General features: G+C 47.3%; 1 protein-coding gene across 5 annotated transcripts in view, besides 1 other annotated feature; it reads right to left on the bottom strand.

The window, feature by feature from the left end:
• Nucleotides 1-24800, bottom strand: part of UBE2L3 (ubiquitin conjugating enzyme E2 L3) — a 74588-nt gene that overhangs the window by 3620 nt on the left and 46168 nt on the right. For 4 of the 5 annotated variants that reach the window (NR_046082.2, NM_001256355.1, NM_003347.4 and 1 more), the window contains one exon: nucleotides 9372-9558. Coding sequence is in view for 3 of the 5 variants with exons in the window: in NM_001256355.1 (NP_001243284.1) it covers nucleotides 9372-9558 (187 nt within the window). In the remaining 2 variants the exon portion in view is untranslated. Of the gene's footprint in view, nucleotides 1-5749; nucleotides 5859-9371; nucleotides 9559-24800 lie in introns of all 5 variants that reach the window. The other variant, NR_028436.3, reaches the window with a different exon arrangement.
• Nucleotides 20402-21336: an enhancer, noted in NCBI's record as "VISTA enhancer hs2026". NCBI's record gives its function as "enhancer in: tail[9/17]" and the evidence as "EXISTENCE:transgenic organism evidence [ECO:0001131][PMID:17130149]".

Raw genomic sequence — 24800 nt, 5'->3', positions numbered from 1 at the left:
CTGTCACTCAGACTGGAGTGCAGTGGCTCAATCATACTTTACTGCACGGTACCCTCAAACTCCTGGGTGTAAATGATCCTCCTGCCTCAGCTTCCTGAGTAGCTGAGACTACAAGCACATGCCATCACGTCCAGCTAATTTTTTTTTTTAACCTAGGCTAGAGTACAGTGGTGCAATCACAGCTCACTGCAGTCTTATCTCCTGGGCTCAAACAATCCTCCCACCTTGGCCTTGAGAGTAGTTGGGATTACGGGTGTTAGCCACTGCTCCTGGCCTAGTTTTTTGTAGAGATGGGGTCTCACTATGTTGCCCAGGCTGGTCTCAAACTCCTGGGCTTGAGTGATCCTACCGCCTCATCCTCCCAAAAGTGCTAGGATGACAGGCATGAAGCCACTGCACCTGGTCAATTCCTTTATTAAGGGCTCATATTGTTCATTCAGCATTACAAGAAATGGATTAAAATGCAAATGCTAGCCAGGCAGATCACCTGAGGTCAGGAGCTCAAGACCAGCCTGGGCAACATGGTGAAACCCCGTCTCTACTAAAAATACAAAAATTAGCCAGGCATGGTGGCCCATGCCTAGAGTCCCAGCTACTCAGGAGGCTGAGGCAGGAGAATCGCTTGAACCCGGGAGACGGCAGTTGCAGTGAGCCGAGATCGTGCCACTGCACTCTAGCTTGGGCAACAGAGCGAGACTCTGTCTCAAAAGTAAATAAATAAAACAAAATGCTGATGCTGGCTGAGTCATATGCAAAGGCATAATCATTCAACAGCACACATTAAGTGAGGGCCACAGCACAAAGTACTCCTGGCCTGGTGTCCAAAACCCACCTGCCTAACCTCTGCTTTTTACTGTGCCTGGTGAGAATGGGAAAGAGAGGGCTCCTGTGACCACAGTGGGTAGAGGTGAAGCAGTGGGGCAGAGGCGAGGAGGGCATTGCGCATGCAATGCTGACAGGTTCCACGTTTGTTGGGGGTGGATGGGCAAGGAGGGTGGACTGTGAACAGCAAGCAGGGGCAAGGGGCCTGGAAAGCTCTCTGCAGGCCAGGGTGGCCTCTAATTCAGTCTCTAAGCCTCTTCAGGGGTAGGTGGTATCACCTCCCTGTACAAGCCACCTGTACCTCTAGAGGCAGCAGGCCCTGGAGGTATATTTTTATTTAATAAACATTTATTTATTTATTTAATAAACGAAGCCCACCCTTGGCTGACTGGCCACAGTGTATTTCAGTGCACACCACCCTCGGTGTGAGACTGCTCCCTTTTCCTGGCTGTTCTTGACTTCAGGGCTGGAAATTGAGCCACAGTCGCCTAAGAGCACAAATAGGTGGCTCCCCTTCCTTTCCCATGATTAGAAATGGCCCTGTAACAGGAGAATTACTACCGCATTAGCATTTTAGAAACCTCACTGGGCTAAGGACAGGCTGAGTACTTCGTTAGGGGCACGCTCAGGAGTTTTCACCTCACTCTCTGATATGAATACTTAGGCTCTCTACTTCTCACTATCATCACCTTGGTAACTAATGCAGAGGTTGGTGGCTCACACCTGTATTCCCAGCACTTTGGGAGGCCAAGGAGGAAGGATCACTTGAGGCCAGGAGTCTGAGACTGGCCTGGGCAACATAGCAAGACCTGGCCTCTACAAAAAATAAAAAATAAAATTAGCCGGTTGTGGTGGCACATGCCTGTAGTCCCAGCTCCTTGGGAGGCTGAGGTGGGATGATTGCTTGAGCCCACAATATTGAGGCTGTAGTGAGCTGTGATTGTGCCACTATACTCAGCCTGAGTGACACAGCAAGACCCTATCGCAAAAAAAAAATAATATATATATATATTTTTTGAGATGGAGTCTCGCTCTGTCGCCCAGGCTGAGTTAGTGGCACAATCACAGCTCACAATCTCGGCTCACTGCAAGCTCCGCCTCCCAGGCTCATGCCATTCTCCTGCCTCAGCCTCCCGGGTAGTGGGATTACAGGCACCTGCCACCATGCCCGGCTAATTTTCTGTAATTTTTTAGTAGAGACGGGGTTTCACCGTGTTAGCCAGGATGGTCTCGATCTCCTGACCTCGTGATCCACCTGCCTCCGCCTCCCAAAGTGCTGGATTACAGGCGTGAGCCACTGCACCTGGCAAAATAAAAATTTAAAGACCTATTTCTCAAAAGATGCCATTTGTCTATTTCGTTATTTTTTATAGTTTCACTAATTTGATCAAGTCTGAATTTTTTTTTTAATTGAGATGGCGTCTCACTCTGTCGCCCAGGCTGGAGTGCAGTGGCACAATCTCAGCTCACTGAAACCTCCACCTCCTGGGTTCAAGGGATTCTCCTGCCTCAACTTCCCCAGTAGCTGGGACTACAGGCATCCGCCACCACGCCTTGCTAATTCTTTGTAATTTTAGTAAAGATGGGGTTTCACCATGTTACCCAGGATGGTCTTGATCTCCTGACCTCATGATCCACCCATCTCATCCTCCCAAAGTGCTGGGATTACAGGCATGAGCCACCATGCCCGGCCTCAAGTCTGAGTATTTTTAAATTTACTTAGTAGTTCTGATAAGTATTTCATTCTTTCGCTGTTCCCCTGGGTGCATTTCTGGCTCCTTAGCTAAACTATAATAAACTTCAGCTGAGCTGAACTTATTTTGCTAGTAAGAACACCTGACAGATTGTCTGCTTTACAAATTACAACTGTGGCCCTCTATCAACATTTTTCATATATAGGACAGCATATTAAAATTATATTTTATAAAACATCCAGCCCTGGGTTCTTGGTCTCTTCCATGACCCAAATGCTCCTCAGAAGTACTTTTTTTTTCTGCAAAATGTAGGGGCTTAAAAACATACAACAGGCCGGGCGCAGCAGCTCACACTTGTAACCCTAGCACTTTGGGAAGCCGAAGTGGGCAGACTGTCTGAGCTCAGGAGTTCAAGACCAGCCTGGGCAATATGGTGAAACCTTGTCTCTACTAAAATACAAAAAACTAGCCAGGTGTGGTGGCATGCGCCTGTAGTCCCAGCTACTCGGGAGGCTGAGGGAGGAGAAATGCTTGAATCCAGGAGGCGGAGGTTGCAATGAGCCAAGATTATGCCACTGCACTCCAGCCTGGGTGACAAAGTGAGACTCTGTCCCCCCAACAAAAAACAAAAAACAAAAAACCCACACAACAAATTAGCCAATTTTACCTTTTACTCTCACTATATTCTCATCAGAGAATAAAGCCTATAATATTTCCTTCCTTTTGTTCCTTTTCTTTTTTTTTTTTTTTTTTTAAGACAGAGTTTCGCTCTGTTGCCCAGGCTGGAGTGCAGTGGCAGCAGCTGGGACTACAGGTGCCCGCAACCACGCCCGGCTAATTTTTGGTGTTTTTAGTAGAGACGGGGTTTCACCGTGTTAGCCAGGATGGTCTCGATCTCCTGACCTCGTGATCTGCCCGCCTCGGCCTCCCAAAGTGCTGGGATTACAGACATGAGCCACCGTGCCTGGCCCTTTTGTTCTTAATGACAGTTTCTCTGCAATAGCGGATGTAAACAATATTTGTGATTTCCCCTCCTTTTCATAAAAATCCAGGGAGCTTCATTGTCAAAGAATAAAATGTCAATGTACCTTCAACCCAAAAAGATATGCAATGTTGTAGCCTTCCATGGAATGTGCTTTAAAAAAAGGGGGGGGGTGTTTTGTTTTGTTTTTTTGCCCCCCAAGTAGCTGGGATTACAGGTGCCTGTCACCACGCCTGGCTAATTTTTTTTTTTTTTTTTGGAGATGGAGTCTCGCTCTCACTCTGTCACCCAGGCTGGAGTGCAGTAGCGTGATCTCAGCTCACTGCAACCTCCGCCTCTCGGGTTCAAGTGATTCTCCTGCCTCAGCTTCCTGAGTAGCTGGGACTACAGGTGCACGCCACCGTGCCCAGCTAATTTTTTTTGTATTTTTAGTAGGGACGGGGTTTCACCACGTTGGCCAGGATGGTCTGGATCTCTTGACCTTGTGATCCGCCCACCTCGGCCTCCCAAAGTGCTGGGATTACAGGCGTGACCCACCACGCCCAGCCTGGAACATTTTCATCCCCCAAAAAGAAAACCCACTCTCAGTAGTCACTTCCTATTCTCCTCCTCCTAGACCCTGACAATCACTAATCTACTTTGTCTCAATGGATCCACCCTAGTCTGAGCATCCCATATACAGCTGAATTTTATCTGTAGTGCTTATGTTCTATAAACTTGCCATGAACATTGAATTAATGATACTGAATCATTGCTCCTAAGGGAAACAGAGGTTTAGGTTCAAACAAGCCTCTGCTCACATTTTTGCCAGCTGATTAATATATAACTTTGTTTTATGTGTGTTTAAAGACACCTTATTTAATAGGTAATATTGACTCAGCAGCACTATAACTCATGCCCAAATAAAGCTTATCTCACACATGTATTTTCTCCAAAAGGCATATCATGACCTTCTGTGCTCAGGAATACTAGACAGCACTTCAGCACCACGTTTGGGGCCAAAGCAAAATCACCAACAAAAAGCACAAAATCCAAGAAGTTTGGCATTAGACAGCCCACTTGCTTCAGTTGAGAGCTGAAACAAGAAGGCAGGGCATCGCACTGTTCAACCACACAACCTCAGCTGGAACACGTGCATGGGGTACTTCAAATTTTTTGCTGCTCTGCACACGCACACATCTGTGATAGACGAGTGCCGAGAGTATTGATTTTGGGGCTACAAAAAACTTTAGTGAGTAGGCAAATTCGCAAACGCAGACTCTATGAACAATGAGGCTCAACTACAAATGGAATCATACAATATGTGGCCTTCCATGGATGGTTCTTTCATTTAGCATATTTTCTTTCTTTTTTTTTTTTTTTGAGACGGAGTCTTGCTCTGTCGCCCAGGCTGGAGTGCAGTGGCGTGATCTCGGCTCACTGCAATCTCCGCCTCCCAGGTTCACGCCATTCTCCTGCCTCAGCCTCCCGAGTAGCTGGGACTACAGGCGCCTGCCACCAAGCTCGGCTAATTTTTTTTATTTTTAGTAAAGACAGGGTTTCACCATGTTAGCCAGGATGGTCTCAATCTCCTGACCTTGTGATCTGCCCGCCTTGGCCTCCCAAAGTGCTGGGACTACAGGCGTGAGCCACCGCGCCCGGCCCATTTAGCATATTTTCAAGGTTTATGTACCATAAGACAGTACTTCATTGCTTTTTATGGCTAAATAATATTTCATTGTAGAGATACACCATTTTTTGTTGTTTGTTTTGTTTTGTTTTGAGACGGAGTTTGGCTCTTGTTGCCCAGGCTGGAGTGCAATGGCACAATCTTGGCTCACTGCAACCTCTGCCTCCCAGGTTCAAGTGATTCTCCAGCTTCAGCCTCCCATGTAGCTGGGATTACAGGCGCCCGCCACCACACCCAGCTAATTTTTTGTATTTTTAGTAGAGACAGGGTTTCACCATGTTGGCCAGGCTGGTCTTGAACTCCGGACCTCAGGTGATCCACCCGCCTCAGCCTCCCAAAGTGCTGGGATTACAGGCGTGAGCCACCACGCCTGGCTCACATTTTGTTTATTCACTCACCAATTGATGGACATTTGGGCTCTTTTCACTTCTTATCCATTGTGAATAATGGTGCTATGAACATCTGTGTACAAGTTTTTATTGGGCATATGTTTTCATTTCTCTTGGGTAGATATAGCTAAGAGTGGAATTGCTGGGTCATATGAGCATCTTTTCATATTACTATTTCTTCCATTATGCTTACTTTTCTGTACTTGTGGGTGGCTAAAGTCAGCTACAGGTTGTGAATTGAGGAGGTCAAAGAACTTCAAGGCTGGATCTGAGAGAAGCCATAATTGGGAACGCTGAAGTTTCTAAGGACAAGGGCAGGAGACAAAAATCATGAGCAGGTGCTCTGGAGACAAAGGAAGAGCGCTGGAAGATTACAGCAGGAGGGTGGCACAAGTGGCTTTTTCCCTTTCTTTCTTTCTTTTTTTTTTTTTGGTACAGACGGGGTTTCACCATGTTCCTCAGGCTGGTCTCAAACTCCTTGGCTCAAGCAATCTGCCTGCCCCAGCCTCCCAAAATGCTGGGATTACAGGCGTGAGCCACTGTGCCCGGCCTCAGGTGGCACTTTCACTTCCCATATTTAAGAAACAAATGAAGGAATGGTGAGGCATTTAAAAAGGCAGGCTTTGCAGGACAGTGGCAGCTGAACAGCAGTCAGGAAATAGCACCAGAAAAACAGGGACACCCAACATATGAAGAATCAGGCAGGTGGGAGAAGGAATGGCATGTCCAGAGGAGCTGCCATTTGGGAAAAGCAGGCCCAAGTGGGCCTGAGGAGGCAGCAAGGGGACTCAGCAACCTTGCCTGCCTGTCCCACCTCTGCCATCATGTCTCCCATCCTGCATACTCCTCCCATCAAGAGCTGAAGTCTATTTTCCCTCTCATTAAATCTGGACTTGCCTGACCAAAAGAATCCACAGAAGTGACACCGTACCAGTTCTATGCCTTCACCCTGGAACCCTGAGACCACCATGCTATGAAGGGGTCCAATGTAGCCTTGTGGAAAATAAGAGAACACAAAGAGAACCGAAGTGCCTTAGCTAATACCATTTCCGCACATGTGCACTATGCCTACCAGCTCTTCCCAGCCAAGTTGAGTTCCCACCTCAATACAGCTGCATGAGTGACCCCAGGAATGAACAGTCAGCTGTAGAACCATGTAGCTAAGCCCAGCCAACCTCCAGAGTAAAAACTAATAAACTGGTATTACTTTAAGCCACAAAGTTTTGATAGGGGTTATAATGCAGTAATAGATAACAAACATGGGAATGTGGCCGTCAAGTGCAAGGAACAACATTCTTGATGTATGTGAGGATGGGGATCAAGGCCATGCCACAAACAATCTACATAATAATGTTCTAGGAAGGAATCCTCAACTGTCCCAAATCACAAAATAGCAATTCCAGTTCTGTCCATCATGGCACACAGAATAGCTCCTGTACCAAAATTTTTACCTTAAAAATCCCAAGTCAACAGTACTTTTTACAAAAAAAAATTAAAAGCTGCCCCTAAGTTATTTGGCTCTTGGGGGTGGGGGAGAAGCAGCCACAGTCTGAAAAAGCAGAGCATTTTGGCAGTGCACCTGGATAGGAAGGTAAAAAGTGAATAACCCTGCCACGGCCTTCTATGCAGCAGCCCCATGAGAGGTGGCAAAGCACGTGCATCCATCTCCTGAGAGCCTCCCTGGCCCTAGCCCCACCCTCTCAGTCTACAGGTAAGGGAGGAGCCTCAGAACTCTTTGTGGCCAGAACCTGAGGTGCAGGGCTTTCCTGGGCAACCTGGCCTGGAAGGACTGCCACTCCCCAGGCACGATGGGTTAACAGACATGACTCGGCAAGGACTCCAGGAATTACTGAACACTCTTGATCAAATGCAGCTATAGGTTTTCGACAGTGCTAGGAATCTGTACAGAAAAAAACCAGGCTCGCCGGGCATGATGGCTCATGCCTGTAATCCCAGCACTTTGGGAGGCTGAGGCAGGTGGATCACCTAATGTCAGGAGTTCGAGACCAGCCTGGTCAACGTGGTGAAACCCCGTCTCTACTACAAATACAAAAATTAGCCGAGCGTGGTGGCTGTAATCCCAGCTACTCAGGAGGCTGAGGCAGGAGAATTGCTTGAACCCGGGAGGCGGAGGTTACAGTGATCTGGGATGGCATCACTGCACTCCAGCCTGGGTGACTCCGTCTCAAAAAAAAAAAAAAAAAAAAAAAAAAAAGAAAAGAAAAGAAAAAATCGGCTGGGTGCGGTGGCTTACGCCTGTAATCCCAGCACTTTGGGAGGCCGAGGCGGGCGGATCACGAGGTCAGGAGATCGAGACCATCCTGGCTAACATGGTGAAACCCCGTCTCTACTAAAAATACAAAAAATTAGCCGGGCGTGGTGGCGGGTGCCTGTAGTCCCAGCTACTCGGAAGGCTGAGGCAGGAGAATGGCGCGAACTCGGGAGGCGGAGGTTGCAGTGAGCAGAGATCGCGCCACTGCACTCCAGCCTGGTGACAGAGCGAGACTCCGTTTCCAAAAAAGAAAAGAAAAGAAAAGAAAAAACCAGGCACTGAGAAGAACTGTGTCAAGCTTTTATAAACATCAGCTTGTACACAAACAAGGACCAAGCCCACTAGAGACTGTTCTGCCCTGACTGAATGTTTAGCACCCACTCCTTTCTTCTACTCAGTGTGGGAGTCTAATGGGCACCTTTCATGGTGATTACTTCCAACAAGTGAGGCTTGATTTTTCTTGCGCAAGGCTTTGAACTCCACCTTCCAAGGCTTTTTTCAATCACTAAAACAAGGGACCTCCTCAATCCCTGTGCAGGTCAAAAGTTCAGCTGAGTTATTCCCACAGGGACTGGTGGCACCTCAGCCATACTTTGCGTGCACCTGGTAAGGTAGGAGTTCTCTGGACTCCGTCTGATCTGGCATCAGGAAGGACCCATGAGCCCCTACCCTAGAGCAGCACCCCTAAAAGAAACCCTCCACTTGCAGCCTCTCAAGTGCCAGCTTCATCCACTCTAATCTAAACAGACTTTATACTGGTTTAGGTACTTAAAAGGAAGCCATCAAAATATGAGATTAGGACTTCAAAAGAAAGTCTAGAATTAAATGAAAACCAGACACAGTCCATAACAAACTAGTCACTTCTAGGGGACAAAAGGGAGGACAACCACAATACTGACTCAAATATTCTTCCCAGAAGAATGAGCATGTTTATGTTCACACAGCCACACACAGACATGTGCACCACGCACAGCCACATCCAACTCCAGGGAATCCCAGGCCCACTAAAGCCAACTACGTGCCTTCATCTGGGAATACTGCCCTTACATCTGCCTCTGTCCCTCCCCTCACATCACCCGAGCAACTAGGCTCTAGCCCATGCCCTTCCTATAGCCTGGAAGGCCCTCTCCAACCTCCTTTCCTCCTTCAAGTCTGAGTTCAGGCACTAACTACTGCATGAGGCCACCTTAAATCCCACTCTCCCTTCCCCTTGTAGGCAGCCCCACAGTCCTTCATCCCTTCCAGGGACCAGTGCCTGCACCTCTCTGCACCAGCAGCAAGCCACTGGGCTTGTCTGTCCATGTGTGTTCCCACTGTGGATGGCAGCCCAGGGCTGAGCACTGGAAAGGCCTCCTCAAACCCTATACAGGTCAAAAGTTCAGCTGAGATGAGCCATTCCCACAAGGTCTGACAGGACCTCAGCTACATTTTTCGTGTACCTGAAAGATTCTCTGGATTCTGTCTGATCTGGTACCAGAAGCCCCCACCCCAGAGCAGCACCCCCAAAGACCCCCTCCGAGGAAGACACAGGCACATGTCTTACCTTGGTCGGTTTTGGTTGCTGGCTTCCAGTTTTCGGCACTAATTACTGGCAGACAGACCTGCCCCTTTTCGTCGATGTTTGGGTGATAGATCTTTGTTTTAAATGTGATCTTCGGTGGTTTGAATGGGTACTCTGCTGGAAAGTTGATTTCGATTCTGAAGGCTCCCTTATCATATGGAGGGTTGTCCTGGAAGGAAAGAGAGATCAAAATGAACACACCATGGTTCATAAACCTATGGCCAAGACAGGAATGTTTTAATTGTTTATCTGAAAAATCAATTTATTTCAAGGGATTCAAGTATCAACTGAAGCCCTGCCACCTTCAGGACAACCCAGCCACCCAAAAGTATTTCTAGAGCAAGCTATCTGCTAAACTGAGAAGGGGCTTGAGATTGATGTCCTGGTCTCTTCATACTTTTTTAAAAAATAGACTTTACTTTTTAGAACACCTTTAGGTATACAGCAAAACTGAGAGGAAAGGACAGAGAATTCCTAAATACCCCCTGCCCCTGAACACACACAGCTTTTCCCACTATCAGCATCCCTCACCAGAGGGGCAAATTTGTTACCACCAATGAACCTTTTACCTTAACACATCATTACCACTCAGCTTCCCTAGTTTATGTTAGGGCTCATACTTGGTGTTGCACATTCTATAGGTTTTGTGTGGTTATCAGACATGATAGCTGGAATCATGCAATATGTAGCTGCTATGTCTGAATGTATCTCCCCAAAAATCTTATGTTGAAACCTAATCACCAATGTGATGGTATTAGGAGTTGGGACCATTGGGAAGTGATTAGGTCATGATGGGATTGGTGTCCTTATCAAAGAGGCCCCTGAGAACTGCCTTGCCCTTTCCATCATATAAAGACACAGTGAAAAGGCACCATCTATAAACCATGAAGCCGGCCCTCAGTTGCCACTGAATCTGTTGGCACCTTGATCTTCAGACTTCCCAGCCTCAATAAGTGAGAAATAAATTTGTCGTTAGAAGCTATTTGTTCTTTTTATTATTATTATTTTTTCAGAGTCTGTTGCCCAGGCTAGAATGCAATGGCACGATCTTGGCTCACCGCAACCTCCGCCTCCTGGGTTCAAGCAATTCTCCTGCTTCAGCCTCCCAAGTAGCTGGGATTACAGGCACCCGCCTCAATGCCCAGCTAATTTTTGTATCTTTAGTAGACATGCGGTTTCACCATGTTGGCCAGGCTGGTCTTGAACTCCTGACCTCAAGTGATCTGCCTGCCTCGGCCTCCCAAAATGCAGGGTTTATAAGCGTGAGCCACTGTGCCCAGCCGTTACTTGTTTTTCCCCCACTTCATACTTACTTATTTATTTTTGACAGGGTCTTGCTCTGTTGCCCACTGGATGGTGGCGTGATCTTGGCTCATTGCAACCTTGACTTCACAGGCTCAAGCAATCCTCCCACCTCAGCCTCCCAAGTAGCTGAGACTACAGATAGGCACCACCACCCCCAGCTAATTTTTTTGTATTTTTATAGAGACTGGGTTTTGCTATGTTGTCCAGGTTGGTCTCAAACTCCTGGGCTCAAGAGATCTGCCTGTCTCGGCCTCCCAAAGTACTAGGATTACAGGTGTGAGCCACTGCACCCAGACTCATTTCTTCTTAGTGTTGAATGTCATTTGTCTAGATATACCACAATTTATTTATCCATTAACCCACTGAAGGACATCTTGGTTGCTTTCAAACCTTAGCAATTAATGAATAAAGCTGTTATAAGCATCTGTGTGGATACAAGTTTTCAATTCATTTGGCTAAATACCAAGGAATGTAATTGCTGGATCCAATGGTAAGACATATGTTTAGTTTTGTAAGAAACTGCCGGCCGGGCGCGGTGGCTCACGCCTGTAATCCCAGCACTTTGGGAGGCCAAGGCAGGTGGATCACGAGGTCAGGAGATCGAGACCATCCTGGCTAACACAGTGAAACCCCGTCTCTACTAAAAATACAAAAAAAAATTAGCTGGACGTGGTGGTGGGCGCCTGTAGTCCCAGCTACTCAGGAGGCTGAGGCAGGAGAATGGTGTGAACCTGGGAAGCGGAGCTTGCAGTGAGTGGAGATTGCGCCACTGCAGTCTGGCCTGGACGAAAGAGCGAGACTGAGTCTCAAAAAAAAAACAAAACAAAACTGCCAAACTGGGCCAGGAGCAGTGACTCATGTCTGTAATCTGAGCACTGTGGGAGGCCAGGGAGGGAGGATCACTTGAGGCCGGGAGTTCAAGACCAGTTTGTGAAACATAACAAGACCCCATCTCTACAAAAAAAAAAAAAAAAAAAAATTAAATATATTAGCCTGGGCCAGGCTCAGTGGCTCACACCTGTAATCCCAGCACTTTGGGAGGCTAAGCTGGGTAGATCACTTGAGGTCAGGAGTTCAAGACCAGCCTGGCCAACGTGGTAAAACCCTGTCTCTACTAAAAATACAAAAAAATTAGCAGAGCGTAGTGGTGCACGCCTGTAGTCCAGCTACTTGGGAGGCTGAGGTAGGAGAATTGCTTAAACCCGGGAGGCAGAGATTGCAGTGAACTGAGGTTGCGCCACTACACTCCAGCCTGGGTGACAGAGCAAGATTCCATCTCAAAAAATAATAACAAAATAAATATATTGGCCTGGCATGGTGGCATGTGCCTGTAGTCTCAGCTACTTCAGAGGCTAAGAAGGGTGGACTTCTTAGGCCCAGGAGTTTGAGAATGCAATGAGCTGTGATCACGCTTCTGCACTCCATTTTGGGCAAGAGAGAGACTCAATTTCTTTGTTAAAAAGATTTTATGAATAAATAAATGAAAGAAACCGCCTAACTTGTCTTCCAAGGTGGCTGCACCATTTTGCATTCCCACCAGGAAAGAGCGAGAGTTCCTGTTGCTCTACGTCCTCAGCAGCATTTGGCAGTGTTCTGGATTTTGGTCATTCTAAGAGATGCACGGTGTTATTTATTGTTGTTTTCTTATTATAGAGTTTTAAGTGTTCTTTGTCCTTTAGACAGTCCTTTATCATATTATGTTTTTGCAAATATCTCTTGATCTTTTCTGAAGATACAAGTAGAGTTGTACCAGAGGTAAGTTACAACCCAACCAGAATACACTGTGAGTACTAGAAGTCCAAATAACTGCCTTGATGCCAAGTCCTGGCCAGCTCAATCTTCCCAGGGTAGAAACAGTAGTCAGCTCAATGGCTGGACCCTGGGGACCTGAGCTGGTCACTCAACAGGTGATCACCAGGCAGGGCCAGCACCATGCCCTAGCCCCTTGCCCCTAGAACCACCCGAAAACCACCTTTGGGGCCTGGACACTCTGATGGCCCCAGGAGCCTGAGAGATGACTCAGCAAAGAGTCTTTTGGCCTCTCCCCAACCCTACCTATCTCCAGAGCTGGGGAAGCCCTTCCCATTGTACTCCCTTTTCCCTCACCCAGGTCTGCCATGGCACTTGCCATGGCACACCCAACCCAAAGAAATCCAAGCTTCACAGAGAGCCCAAGAACAATCTTTTTTTTTTTTTTTTTTTTTTTAAGACGGAGTCTCGCTCTGTCGCCCAGGCTGGAGTGCAGTGGCGCGATCTCAGCTCACTGCAACCTCTGCCTCCCTGGTTCATGCAATTCTCCCACCTCAGCCTCCTAAGTAGCTGGGATTACAGGTACCCGCTACCCTGCCCGACTAATTTTTTTTTTTTTGTATTTTTAGTAGAGATGGGGTTTCACCATGTTGGCCAGCCTGGTCTTGAACTCCTGACCTCAGGTGAACTGCCGGCCTCGGCCTCCCAAAGTGTTGGGATTACAGGAGTGAACTACTGCACCTGGCCCCAGGAACAATCTTGACAGCCCTACACCCCAGCCCCATATCTTCAAGCCGTGGCCTAAGTACGCACTCCAGTAAACAGAGCTCCTCTGCTGGGGAGCAAGGCTGGCGTGCGCCAGTTCTCCACATTCTCCTACATCCAAGCCCTGCCCTGGGAGGGGAGGCATGGAGCAAGGGCCTTAAAGGATGGATAAGATGACATAAGGCTGAGGAGTGGAAGAGGCCTCCCAGGCAGAGAGGACTAAAGACTAGATGGCAGGGACTTGGAAGGAATAGCATAGAGCAAGACAGGAGGCTGCGGGCAGGCAGTGTGGCCCCAGGGCTACTGAAGCCACGCGTCCAGGTCTGAATCACCACCGAGCAGCTGAAACCACTGTCAGCATATTCATCTGTGGGGAGTCACCCAGGCTGGAGTGCAGAGGTGCAATCACGGTTCACTGCAGCCTTGACTTCCCGGGCTCTAGCAATCCTCCCACCTCAGCCTCCCAAGTAGCTGGGACTACAGGCATATGCCACCACACTCAGCTATTTTTTTATTTCTTATAGTGATGGCGTCTCACTATGTTGTCCAGGCTGGCCTCAAACTCCTGAGTTCAAGTGATCCTCCCAAAGTGCTGGAGTGCTGGGATTATAGGAGTGATGCACCATACCCAGCCAGCTTTTAGTTTTCAAGAGGAGAATTAAATGGTGGTGGTGGTGGGGGGAAGTAAGTAAACATCATTGTCATTTACACTGCTTGAGCCATGTAAAAATAGCTTTCCCTCACTGGGTGTGGTGGCACACTGGGAGGCTGAGCCAGGAGAATCACTTGAACCTGGGAGGCAGAGGTTGCAGTGAGCCAAGATTGTGCCACTGCACTCCAGCCTGGGCAACAGAGTAAGACACACACACACACACCACACACACACACACATACCACACACACGCGCGCGCGCACACTTTCCTGCATGACTTTTGGTTGGTGAAATCTGCTAAAGGTCTTCACTGATTGTCCAGGACTGACCAACCTCCCCTGTTCCCCACTGTGGGCCAGGTCCTGTCCGAGGAGCTGGGGTGAAGCATGAATGAGGCCATCTGGCCCCAAGTTAGCAGGTCTAGCCTCAGACTTTGCCTCTTCCTAGCTTAAAGAGTCTGAGAATGTTCCTGTACATCTGTAAAATGGGAGTAGCAACAGCCTGTACCCAGAGTTTATGATGAGAGATAAGGACTATAAAGTCCTACATGCCTGACACATGGGCAAAGCTCAAGAGAAGCAGATTTGGCTGGGTGCAGTGGCTCATGCCCGTAATCCCAACACTTTGGGAGGCTAAGGCAGGAGGATCACAAGAGCCCAGGAGGCTGAGGCTGCAGTGAGCCATGATCACACCTCTACACTCTAGCCTGGGTGACAGAATGAGAACCTGTCTCAAAAAAGCCAAAAACAGACTGGGCGCAGTGGCTCATGCCTGTAATCCCAACACTTTGGGAGGCTGAAATGTGCAGATCACTTGAGGCCAGGAGTTTGAGACAAGCCTGGCCAACATGGTGAAACCCCGTTTCTACTAAAAATACAAAAATTAGCCAGGCGTGGTGGCACATGCCTGTAATCCCAGCTACTTGGGAGGCTGAGGCAGGAGAATCACTTGAACCTGGGAGACAGAGGTTGTGGTGAGCTGAGATTGTGCCATTGCACTCCAGCCTGGGCAACAAAAGTGAAAATCCATCTCAAAAAGAAAAAGAAAAAGAAAAAAAAGAAACCCTATCTATACTAAAAAAAGGCCGAGGCAGGTGGATCACGAGATCAGGAGATCGAGACCATCCTGGCTAACACGGTGAAACTCTGTCTCTACTAAAAATACAAAAAATTAGCTGGGCGTGGTGGCACGCACCTGTAATCACATCTACTCAGGAGGCTGAGGCATGAGAACTGGTTGAACCCAGGAGGCACCGGCTGCAGTGAGCCAAGATCACACCGCTGCAGTGAGCCAAGACTGCACCACTGCACTCCTGCCTAGGCGATAGAGCAAGGTGTTCTCTCAAAAAAACAAAACAAAACAAAAACAAGTCCTTTTGTAAAGACAGGATCTCACTTTGTTGCTAACAATTTTTTTAAATTAGCTGTGCGTGCTGCTGGTGCACACCTGTAGTCCCAGCCACTCAGGAGGCTGAGGTAGGAGGACTGCTTGAGGCTATAGTTTTAAGTTGTTAGTTGTTAAGGCTGTAGTGAGCCATGATCACGCCACTGCCTTCCAGCCTGGACAAGACAGTGAGATCCTGCCTCTTTTTTCTTCCAAAAAGAGGAAGGAAAAAAAAGAAGCAGTTCTGTTACTACATGAGGCAGGCCAGGCCTCTCACCACCCAGGGAACTTGGCCAAACTCATCTGAACTTCTCTGGGCCTCTTTCCTAGTCTGGGGATCTGTGGATGGTCAAAGGAGTGGCTCAGGTGTGCATAAGTCACACAAACTATGTGCCTGTCCCAGAGATTTTTGGTGAAAGAGGCATGCAAAAATTAAAACATAAGATATACCTTCCGGGTAAAGGCCTACAGCTCTACAAGTGAATTTCAACATTAGAGCTAAACTTGCCCTTTGGGAAGGCCACTCAGAAATAACAAGGGATGTTAATGAAAAAACATGGTTTTGTTGTAAAAAATATATATATTATAAAACATTGCAGAAAATTTGCCTCCAACTTAAGCTGCAACATTTCAATGTCAAATAAACCAAAGATTTTAGCATTATCTATTTATTTAGAGATAGAGTCTCACGCTTGCCCAGGCTGGAGTGTAATGGTGGGATCTCAGCACTGCAACCTCCGCCTCCCGGGTTCAAACGATTGTCCTGTCTCTCAGCCTCCCAAGTAGCTGGGATTACAGGCGCAGGCTGCCACGTCCGGCTAATTTTTTGTATTTTAGTAGAGACGGGGTTTCACCGTGTTGCCCAGGATGGTCTTGAACTCCTGAGCTCAAAAATCCACCCAAGTCAGCCTCCCAAAGTGCTAGGATTACAGGCGTGAGCCACTACGCCCAGCTGATTTCAGCATTATCTTCACATGAACACGACTAGTGTTTTTCTGTTATGCCTGCCTTTGACTGTCTTGTGCTCCCTAAGCTCATACTGCTGTATTGAGGAAGTCATTTGAGATGTAAATTAATTCCTTATGATAATTTTACACACTCTAAACTAGTTCAAAAACTTAAACTCCAGCACTTTGGAAGGCCGAGGTGGGAGGATTGCTTAAGCCCAGGAGTTTGAGGCTGCAGTGAGCTATGATTACACCACTGCATTCCAGCCTCGGCAAGAGTGAGACCCTGTCTCAGAAAAAAAAAAAAAAAAAAAAAATCAAAAAACACCTTTTCAATCCATGTCTAAATTCTAGGACAGACTTTTTATCCACTTGTCTTTTTTTTTTTGAGACAGAGTCTGGCTCTGTCGCCCAGGCTGGAGTGCAGTGGCGCAATCTCGGCTCACTGCAAGCTCTGCCTCTCATATCATTCTCCTGCCTCAGCCTCCCGAGTAGCTAGGACTACAGGCACCCACCACCACACCCGGCTAATTTTTTGTGTTTTTAGTAGAGACGGGGTTTCACCGTGTTAACCAGGATGGTTTCGATCTCCTGACCTCATGATCCGCCCGCCTCAGCCTCCCAAAGTGCTGGGATTACAGGCGTGAGCCACGGCGACCAGCCCACTTGTCTTTTTTTTTTTTTTTTTTTTTTTTAAGACAGAGTCTCGCTCTGTCACCCAGGCAGGAGTGCAATGGCACGATCTCGGTTCACTGCAGCCTCCACCTCCTGAGTTCAAGCGATTCTCCTGCCTCACCCTCCCAAGTAGCTGGGACTACAGGCATGCACCACAACTCTCAGCTAATTTTTTTGTATTTTTACTAGAGACAAGGTTTCACCATGTTGGCCAGGCTGGTCTCGAACTCCTGACCTCAGGTGATCCGCCTGCCTCGGCCTTCCAAAGTGCTGGGATTACAGGTGTGAGCCACCGCACCCGGCCCACTTGCTATTTATAAAGAAAGAAAGATACCGGTTTTAAAGTGGATTTTCTTTTATATATAGTATGGCTAACATTTTCCTGTATTTGCTTCTAGTCATTATAATGCATGCATGTAAATAAGAGTTGATCATTTCAACCTGGGAAAGCCAATTTAAAAAAATTTGACCAAAGTTTCTCAAGTACTTAGATGCCAGGTGCTTTTCCGTGCCATCTCCAGCCCATATTCCGCCCCTCCTGGTCCCCTAACACCAACCCTGGGAAGCCAGTGCTGCCATCACTTGCATTTGGAAATGGAGCAAGTGAAGTACGATTGAGTGACTGGCCTGAGACCTCCCCTAAACTCAGCCTTCCTGTCCCGGAACACAACCCCCCACATCTGCAGGTATCCATCTGGGCCCATCCTCATCACCTTTGTGGGATGCGGGGACGAGGGGAACTGGCCCTTTTCTCGAGTCTTCCACCAACATCCAATAAATTGGCAGGACACCTTTTCAGGCTGCAAGTAGGGTAAAAATCTCAGATCCTTCACAGCTCTTGATATCAACCTCCCATGGCACAAAGCCATTTTGTGGCAGCTAAGACTAAGAGGAAGCTCTTTGCCATATGGCACCGAACTATCTGGGGTCTTTCACCCACTTGTCCTAGCTCTAACCCTGTGGTCAAATCTAATCTTCCTTTCCCATGGCAACCTTTCAAGAATCCTAAAACCCCATTCCACTTCATGTTTTCCCTTCCCAAGTAAAGACCCAGAGTCCTTCATCCCACAGAAGTCACCGTTTCATGTCACTGCTGTGAAGCAGGGAAGACCACCATACAGCTCTCTGGCAGCCACAGAGGAAGTCAAGGTGTCTTCTGGTTGTCTGACTTGGACTGCTGCTACATGGCACGTCCTTGTGGTGTGTTCCTAGCTGGCTGTAGGACACCACAGACAGGACTCATGGCTGACCTGAAGAGCTGGATCCTAGTTTGGATCTAACTAGCATGCTGCTCCTTCTTCATGCCAGGCTTCAGATGGACTGAAGGGTCCTGTGCACTGTTGTCACTTCTGCCTAGCTTGGTGGCGACTCCACAGCAGCATCCTTTCCCTGTGGCTAACCTTTTTCACCCAGTGAACTAACAAAGCTGAAGCTTTCCCTGCCACAGGGATGTCTACTGAGACCAGCCCTGTGGGCTGCCTATCCCTACACAGTCCAGTCCCCTGTTAAGAGAGAACAAGGGGACGCGGCTTGCCCTGCTCGGAGTGCCCCAGGCTGGTTTGTCTTTTTTTTTTTTTTTTTTGAGATGGAGTCTCTGTCGCTGAGGCTGGAGTTCAGTGGCGCAATCTCGGCTCACTGCAAGCTCCGCCTCCCGGGTTCACGCCATTCTCCTGCCTCAACCTCCAGAGTAGCTGGGACTACAGGCGCCCACCACCACGCCCGGCTAATTTTTTTGTATTTTTAGTAGAGACAGGGTTTCACCGTGTTAGCCAGGATGGTCTCGATCTCCTGACCTCGTGACCCGCCTGCCTCAGCCTCCCAAAGTGCTGGGATTACAGGCGTGAGTGAGCCACCGTGCCTGGCCCTGCCCCAGGCTGGTTTCTATGCTCTCAAGCCTTCGTGATCCACTCTGGAACCTTGTCAAGAGCTGAGTTAGGCCAGGCACAGTGGCTCATACCTATAATCCCAGCACTTTGGGATGCTGAGGTGAGTGGATCACTTGAAGTCAGGAGTTCAAGACCAGCCTGACCAACATGGTGAAATCCCATCTCTACTAAAAATACAAAAAAATTAGCCAGGCGTAGTGGTACACGCCTGTAATCCCAGCTACTTAGGAGGCTGAGGCAGGAGAATCACTTGAACCCATGAAACAGAGGTTGCAGTGAGCTGAGATCACACCACTGCACTCCAGCCTGGGGGACGAGAGAGACTCTGTCTCAAAAACAAAAAAACAAAAAAACCCAAAAGAGTTAAGTTTAGGAGGTTAAGTTCTTGTGACTTCTGAACATGGAATATGTCCTTACTCCATGTTCGAAAGTCACAAGAACTTAACTTTGTAAATTGCCTTTAAGTATGATTGATTGATTGATTGATTTTTCTTTGAAAGAGTCTCGCTCTGTCACCGAGGCTGGAGTGCAATGACGCGATCTCAGCTCACTGCAACCTCCACCTCCTGGGTTCAAGCAATTCTCCTGCCTCTGCCTCCCAAGTAGCTGGGACTACAGGCACCTGCCGCCACACCCAGCTAATTTTTTGTATTTTTAGTAGAGATAGGGTTTCATCATGTTGGCCAGGCTGGTCGCAAAATCCTGGCCTCAGGTGATCCACCCTCCTCAGCCCCACAAAGTGCTGGGATTACAGGTGTCAGCCACCACGTCCCTCCTTGCCTTTAAGTATTTATTGTCTCTTCTGAAAACAGGCTTTTTGGTTATTTGAATCAAAAAATCTGCCACATGAGATTCATCTTGTTCTAATATTGGTTTCTGAAGATGACTTCTTTGTACTGTTTTCAACAACTTGGTTTTGGGGATTTTTCATAATACAGTTCTTTGGCAACAAATATTTCCTTTTTTTTGAGATGGAGTCTCACTCTGTCGCCCAGGCTGGAGTGCAGTGGCGCGATCTTGGCTCACTGCGGCCTCCGCCTCCTGGGTTCAAGTAATTCTCCTGCCTCAGCCTCTCTAGTATCTGAGATTACAGATGCCTGCCACCACGCCCGGCTAATTTTTATATTTTTAGTAGAGATGGGGTTTTGCCATGTTGGCCAGGCTGGTCTTGAACTCCCGACCTCAAGTGATCCGCCTCCCCTGGCCTCCCAAAGTGCTGGGATTACAGGCATGAGCCACTGCACCCGGCCGGCAACAAATACTTCAACACTAAAGAGTTCAATCGTATTCCCTTTGGAAGTAAATAGTAGGAATAAGTTTTTTTGTTTGTTTTGTTTTGTTTTGTTTTTTTAGATGGAGTTTTGCTCTTGTTGCCCAGGCTGGAACACAATGGCACGATCTCAGCTCACCGCAACCTCCACCTCCCCGGTTCAAGCGATTCTCCTGGCTGAGCCTCCCAAATTGCTGGGATTACAGGCGCCCACCACCAGGCCCGGCTAATTTTTTGTATTTTTAGTAGAGACGGGGTTTTGCCACATTGGACAGGCTGGTCTCAAACTCCTGACCTCAGGTGATCCACTTGCCTCGGCCTCCCAAAGTGCTGGGATTACTGGCATGAGCCACCGCGCCCGGCCAGGAATAAGTATTTTAGAACTGGTTTTCCAATCTTTCATTTCATAATGTTCATAAACTACCTTCTGAATTGTATCTACAATTAAAATCACAATCTCCATTAACCGAATTTGACAAAGACCATTCCTTCCTTTTGGGCTCAAATAGCCATGAGTACTTCTCATACATAATTCACTTTTCTCCCAAGAATGGAAAAAATACAGCACTCACACCAAAAATAGAAGTGAAAAAAACAAAACAAACAAAAAATCCCACCAGACACCCCATTCCCCAGGATGCCGTCAGGCCTCTGCTGCACAGCCCAAGAACGTTCTCTGTGCATACATGGTGCTCTCAAAGGCCTTAATTTCTGTACATCTATGCAAACTACACATATGTCCTCACACTGCCTATATTTTTTCATAGTTTCTGCTCACACTGCCTTCCACTATGCAGTCCAGATATTGTCACCCTCCCACCCACCGCTGCCCTGCTTCTGTTTGGTCTTAAGTGCCTTGCAGGTGGAGCCACACTCAGTGCTTAAGAGACCATGGATTCCAGGAGGGTGGCTTCTCTGTGGCCTCTGTCCATAGAACCTTGTGTCTGGCTGTGATAGGAGCTCAACAGCCCCATCAATGTAGGGGGATACTCTTTCTCCCCAAAACAACTCCAGTGTGCCCTCAGAAAACAGGGCTGCCCTCATTGGTCTCAACCATTACAGCTACAGGAGACGGAAGTAGGGGAGAGAGAAGGCAGAGTGGCACAATTAGCAGGAAGCAGAAAAGAACTGACAATTACAGGCAAGTGCTGAGCCCAGGGAGGCAGGATGCAGCTCCCATCAAAGGCCAGAGGGGCAATGCAGAAAGGAGGAATGAGGCATCCGGAGGGCGTGGATTTTAGGAGCAACTGCTGTGCAAATAAGCTTGCAGAAAGAAGGTGAGAGGTCTAACTACAAATGTAACTGCAAAAAGGTGAAAGAGGCCAGGAGTTCAAGACCAGCCTGGCCAACATGGCGAAACCCTGTGTCTACTAAAAATACAAAAGAATTAGCCGAGCGTGGTGGTGTATGCCTGTAGCCCCAGCTGCCAGGGAGGCTGAGGCAAAAGATTGCTTGAACCCAGGAGGTAGAGGCTGTAGTGAGCTGAGATCACACCACTGCACTCCAGCCTGGGAGACAGAGTGACTCTGTCTCAAAAAAAAAAGAAATGGAACTAGGCGGGTGGGGGCATGGTGGCTCATGCTTGTAATTCCAGCACTTTGGGAGGCTGAGGCAGGAGGATCGCTTGAGCCCAGGAGTTTGAGACCAGCCTGGGCAACACAGGGAGAACCCATTTATTATTATTATTATTTTAATAAAATAGAGACGGGGTCCTGCTATATTGCCCAAGCTGGTTTTGAACTCCTAGGCTCAATCGATCCTTCCACCCCAGCCTCCCAACATGCTGGGAATATAGGTGTGAGCCACTGCACCCAGCCCCCATCTCTATTTATTTAAAAAAAAAAAAAAAAAAGGAAAGGGAAAGGGAGAAGGAAAGGGAACTAGAAATCAATAACAGAACTAGAAAACTCACAATTATGGGGAAATTAAACGTACTCTCTAACAAGCAATGGGTCAAAGAAGAAATCACAAGGGAAATTAGAAAATATCCTCAGAAAAAAAAATGACATACCAAAACTTAAGTTATGCAGCAAAAGTAGTGCTCAAAGGGAATCTACAGCTTTAAATACCTACATTGAAAAAGCAAGTCTGAAATCAATAATCTAACTGGATATTTTAAGGAACAAAGAAAGTAATAACACAAGAAAGAAGTAAATAGTAAGCACAGAGGAGATAAATGAAAAACACACACACACACATTAATGAAACCTTCCTTGAAGAGATCAACAAAATTGAAAAAACTTTAGCTAGACTGATAAAAGGAAAAAGAGAAAAGACTCATATTATTAAAATAAGAAATGAGGCAGGGCATAGTGGTGTAATCCCAGCACTTTGGGAGGCTAAGGCAGGCGGATCACTTGAGTCTAGGAGTTCAAGACCAGCCTGTGCAATATGGCAAAACCCCATCTCTACAAAAAAAAAAAAAAAAATACAAAAATTAGCTGGGCGTGGTGGCTCATGCCTTCAGTACCAGCTACTCTGGAGGCTGAGGTGGGAGGATCGCTTGAGCCTGGGAGGTTGAGGCTGTGGTGAGCCATGATCATGCCACTGTACTCCAGCCTGGGCAACAGAACGAGAGCCTGTCTCAAAAAAAAAAAAAAAAAAAAAAAAAAAAAAAATCTACATATAAATGGATCAAAGATCCAAATTTAAGAGCTAAAACTATAAAACTCTTAGAAGAAAACTCAGGAAAATTTGCATGACCTTGGATTTGGCAACAGTGTCTTAAAAATCAAACCAAAGTATAGGCAACAAAATTAAAAATAGATAAATTGGACTTCTTTATTAAAAATTTAAGGCCAGGTGTGATGGCTCACATCTGTAAATCCCAGAGCTTTCAGAGGCTAAGCCAGGAGGACCACTTGAGCCTGGGAGTTCAAGACTAGCCTGGGCAACACAGCAAGACTCCATCTCTACAGAAAAAATAATTAAAATTAGCTGGGGGTTGCAGCATGTGCCTATAGTGCCAGCTACTTGGGAAGACTGCTTGAGCCCAGGAGTCTGGGGCTGCAGAGAGCCATTATTGAGCCACTGCACTCCAGCCTGGATGACAGAGCAAGACCCCTTCTCTAAAAATAAAAATTAAATTAAAAAATTTAAAACTTTAGTGCATCAGGCCAGGCACGGTGGCTCAAGCCTGTAATCCCAGCACTTTGGTAGGCTGAGGCGGACAGATCACTTGAGGTCAGGAGTTCGAGACCAGCCTGGCCAACATGGTAAAACCCTGTCTCTACCAAAAAATACAAAAATTAGCCAGGTGTGGTGGTGCACGCCTATAGTCCCAGCTACTCGGGAGGCTGAGGTGGGAGAATCACTTGAACCCGGGAGGCAGAGGTTGCAGTGAGACGAGACTGTGCTTCTGCATTCTGGCCTGGGCAACAGAGTGAGACCCTGTCTCAAAAAGAAACAAAAAAACAAAAAACACACCATGCAAAAACATGTTCTACATCCTTAGTATGAAGAAAACAGAAATCAAAACCACAATGAGACAGCACTACATACCAACTAGAATGGCTGTAACGTAAAAACAAAAAAAAAGTAAAATAACAAATGTTAGCAAGGATGTGGATGAACTGGAACCTTTGTAGTGGAAATTTAAGACGTTACAGGATGGGCGCAATGGCTTATGCCTATAATCCCAGCACTTTGAGAGGCTGAGATGGGTGGATCACCTGAGGTCGGGAGTTCGAGACCAGCCTGACCAACATGGAGAAACCCAGTCTCTACTAAAAGTACAAAAATTAGCCAAAATTGCTTGAACCCGGGAGATGGAGGTTGCAGAGAGCCGAGATCGCATAACTGCACTCCCCAGCCTGGGCAACAGAGCAAGGCTCTGTCTCAAAAACAAGAACAAAAATTAGCTGGGCATGGTGGTGCACACCTGCAATCCCAGCTACTCGGGAGGCTGATGTATAAGCATCACTTGAACCCAGGAGGCTGAGGTTGCAGTGAACCAAAATCACACCATTGCACTCCAGCCTGGGTGACAGAGTAAGACTGTCTCAAAAAATAAAATAAAATGGAATAAAATAAAAAGAAATTGGCTGGGTGTGGTGGCACACACCTGTAGTCCTGGCTACTCAGGAGGATTGCTTGAGCCCAGAAATTCAAGGCTGCAATGGGCCATGATCACACCACTGCACCCTAGCCTGGGTGACAGCACAAAACCCTGCCTCAAAAAACCAAAACATTATTATGAAGTTATGAAATGGTTTATTAAAAACTGCATGAAGGCCAGCGTGGTGGCTCACGCTTGTAATCCCAGCACTTTGGGAGACTGAGGAGGGTGGATCACAAGGTCAAGAGACTGAGACCATCCTGGCCAACATGGTGAAACCCCGTCTTTACTAAAAATACAAAAATTAGCGGGGTGTGGTGGTGCGCACCTGTAGTCCCAGCTACTTGGGAGGCTGAGGCAGGAGAATCGCTTGAACCCGGGAGGCGGAGGTTGCAGTGAGCCGAGATCGTGCCACTGCATAGCGACAGAGCGAGACTCCAACTCAATTAAAAAGAAAAAAAAGAAACTGCATGAAAAAAGGCTGAGAGGAAGTATGCTGAAGGTTAAGAGTAAACACATTCACTGGGCTAGAAGCTTCAAGAAGGGTGACTACCACACCTCTAGTTCCTAAAGGGCAGTACACAAAATGTAACTGAATTTCTTGATGATGTGATTATGGGTAATATTTTCTTCCTTAGACGTTACCTTAGCATCTTAGATGAAAAAAAATTACAGAAAAACAAATGTTTAAAGGGAATAGACCAGAGTTGCGTTGGCAACAA

This window comes from Homo sapiens, chromosome 22 (assembly GCF_000001405.40).
Source record: "Homo sapiens chromosome 22, GRCh38.p14 Primary Assembly".
NCBI classification, from domain to species: Eukaryota; Metazoa; Chordata; class Mammalia; order Primates; family Hominidae; genus Homo; species Homo sapiens.
Note: the sequence above shows the minus strand (reverse complement) of the source record. Positions and strands in the feature narration are given on the sequence as shown.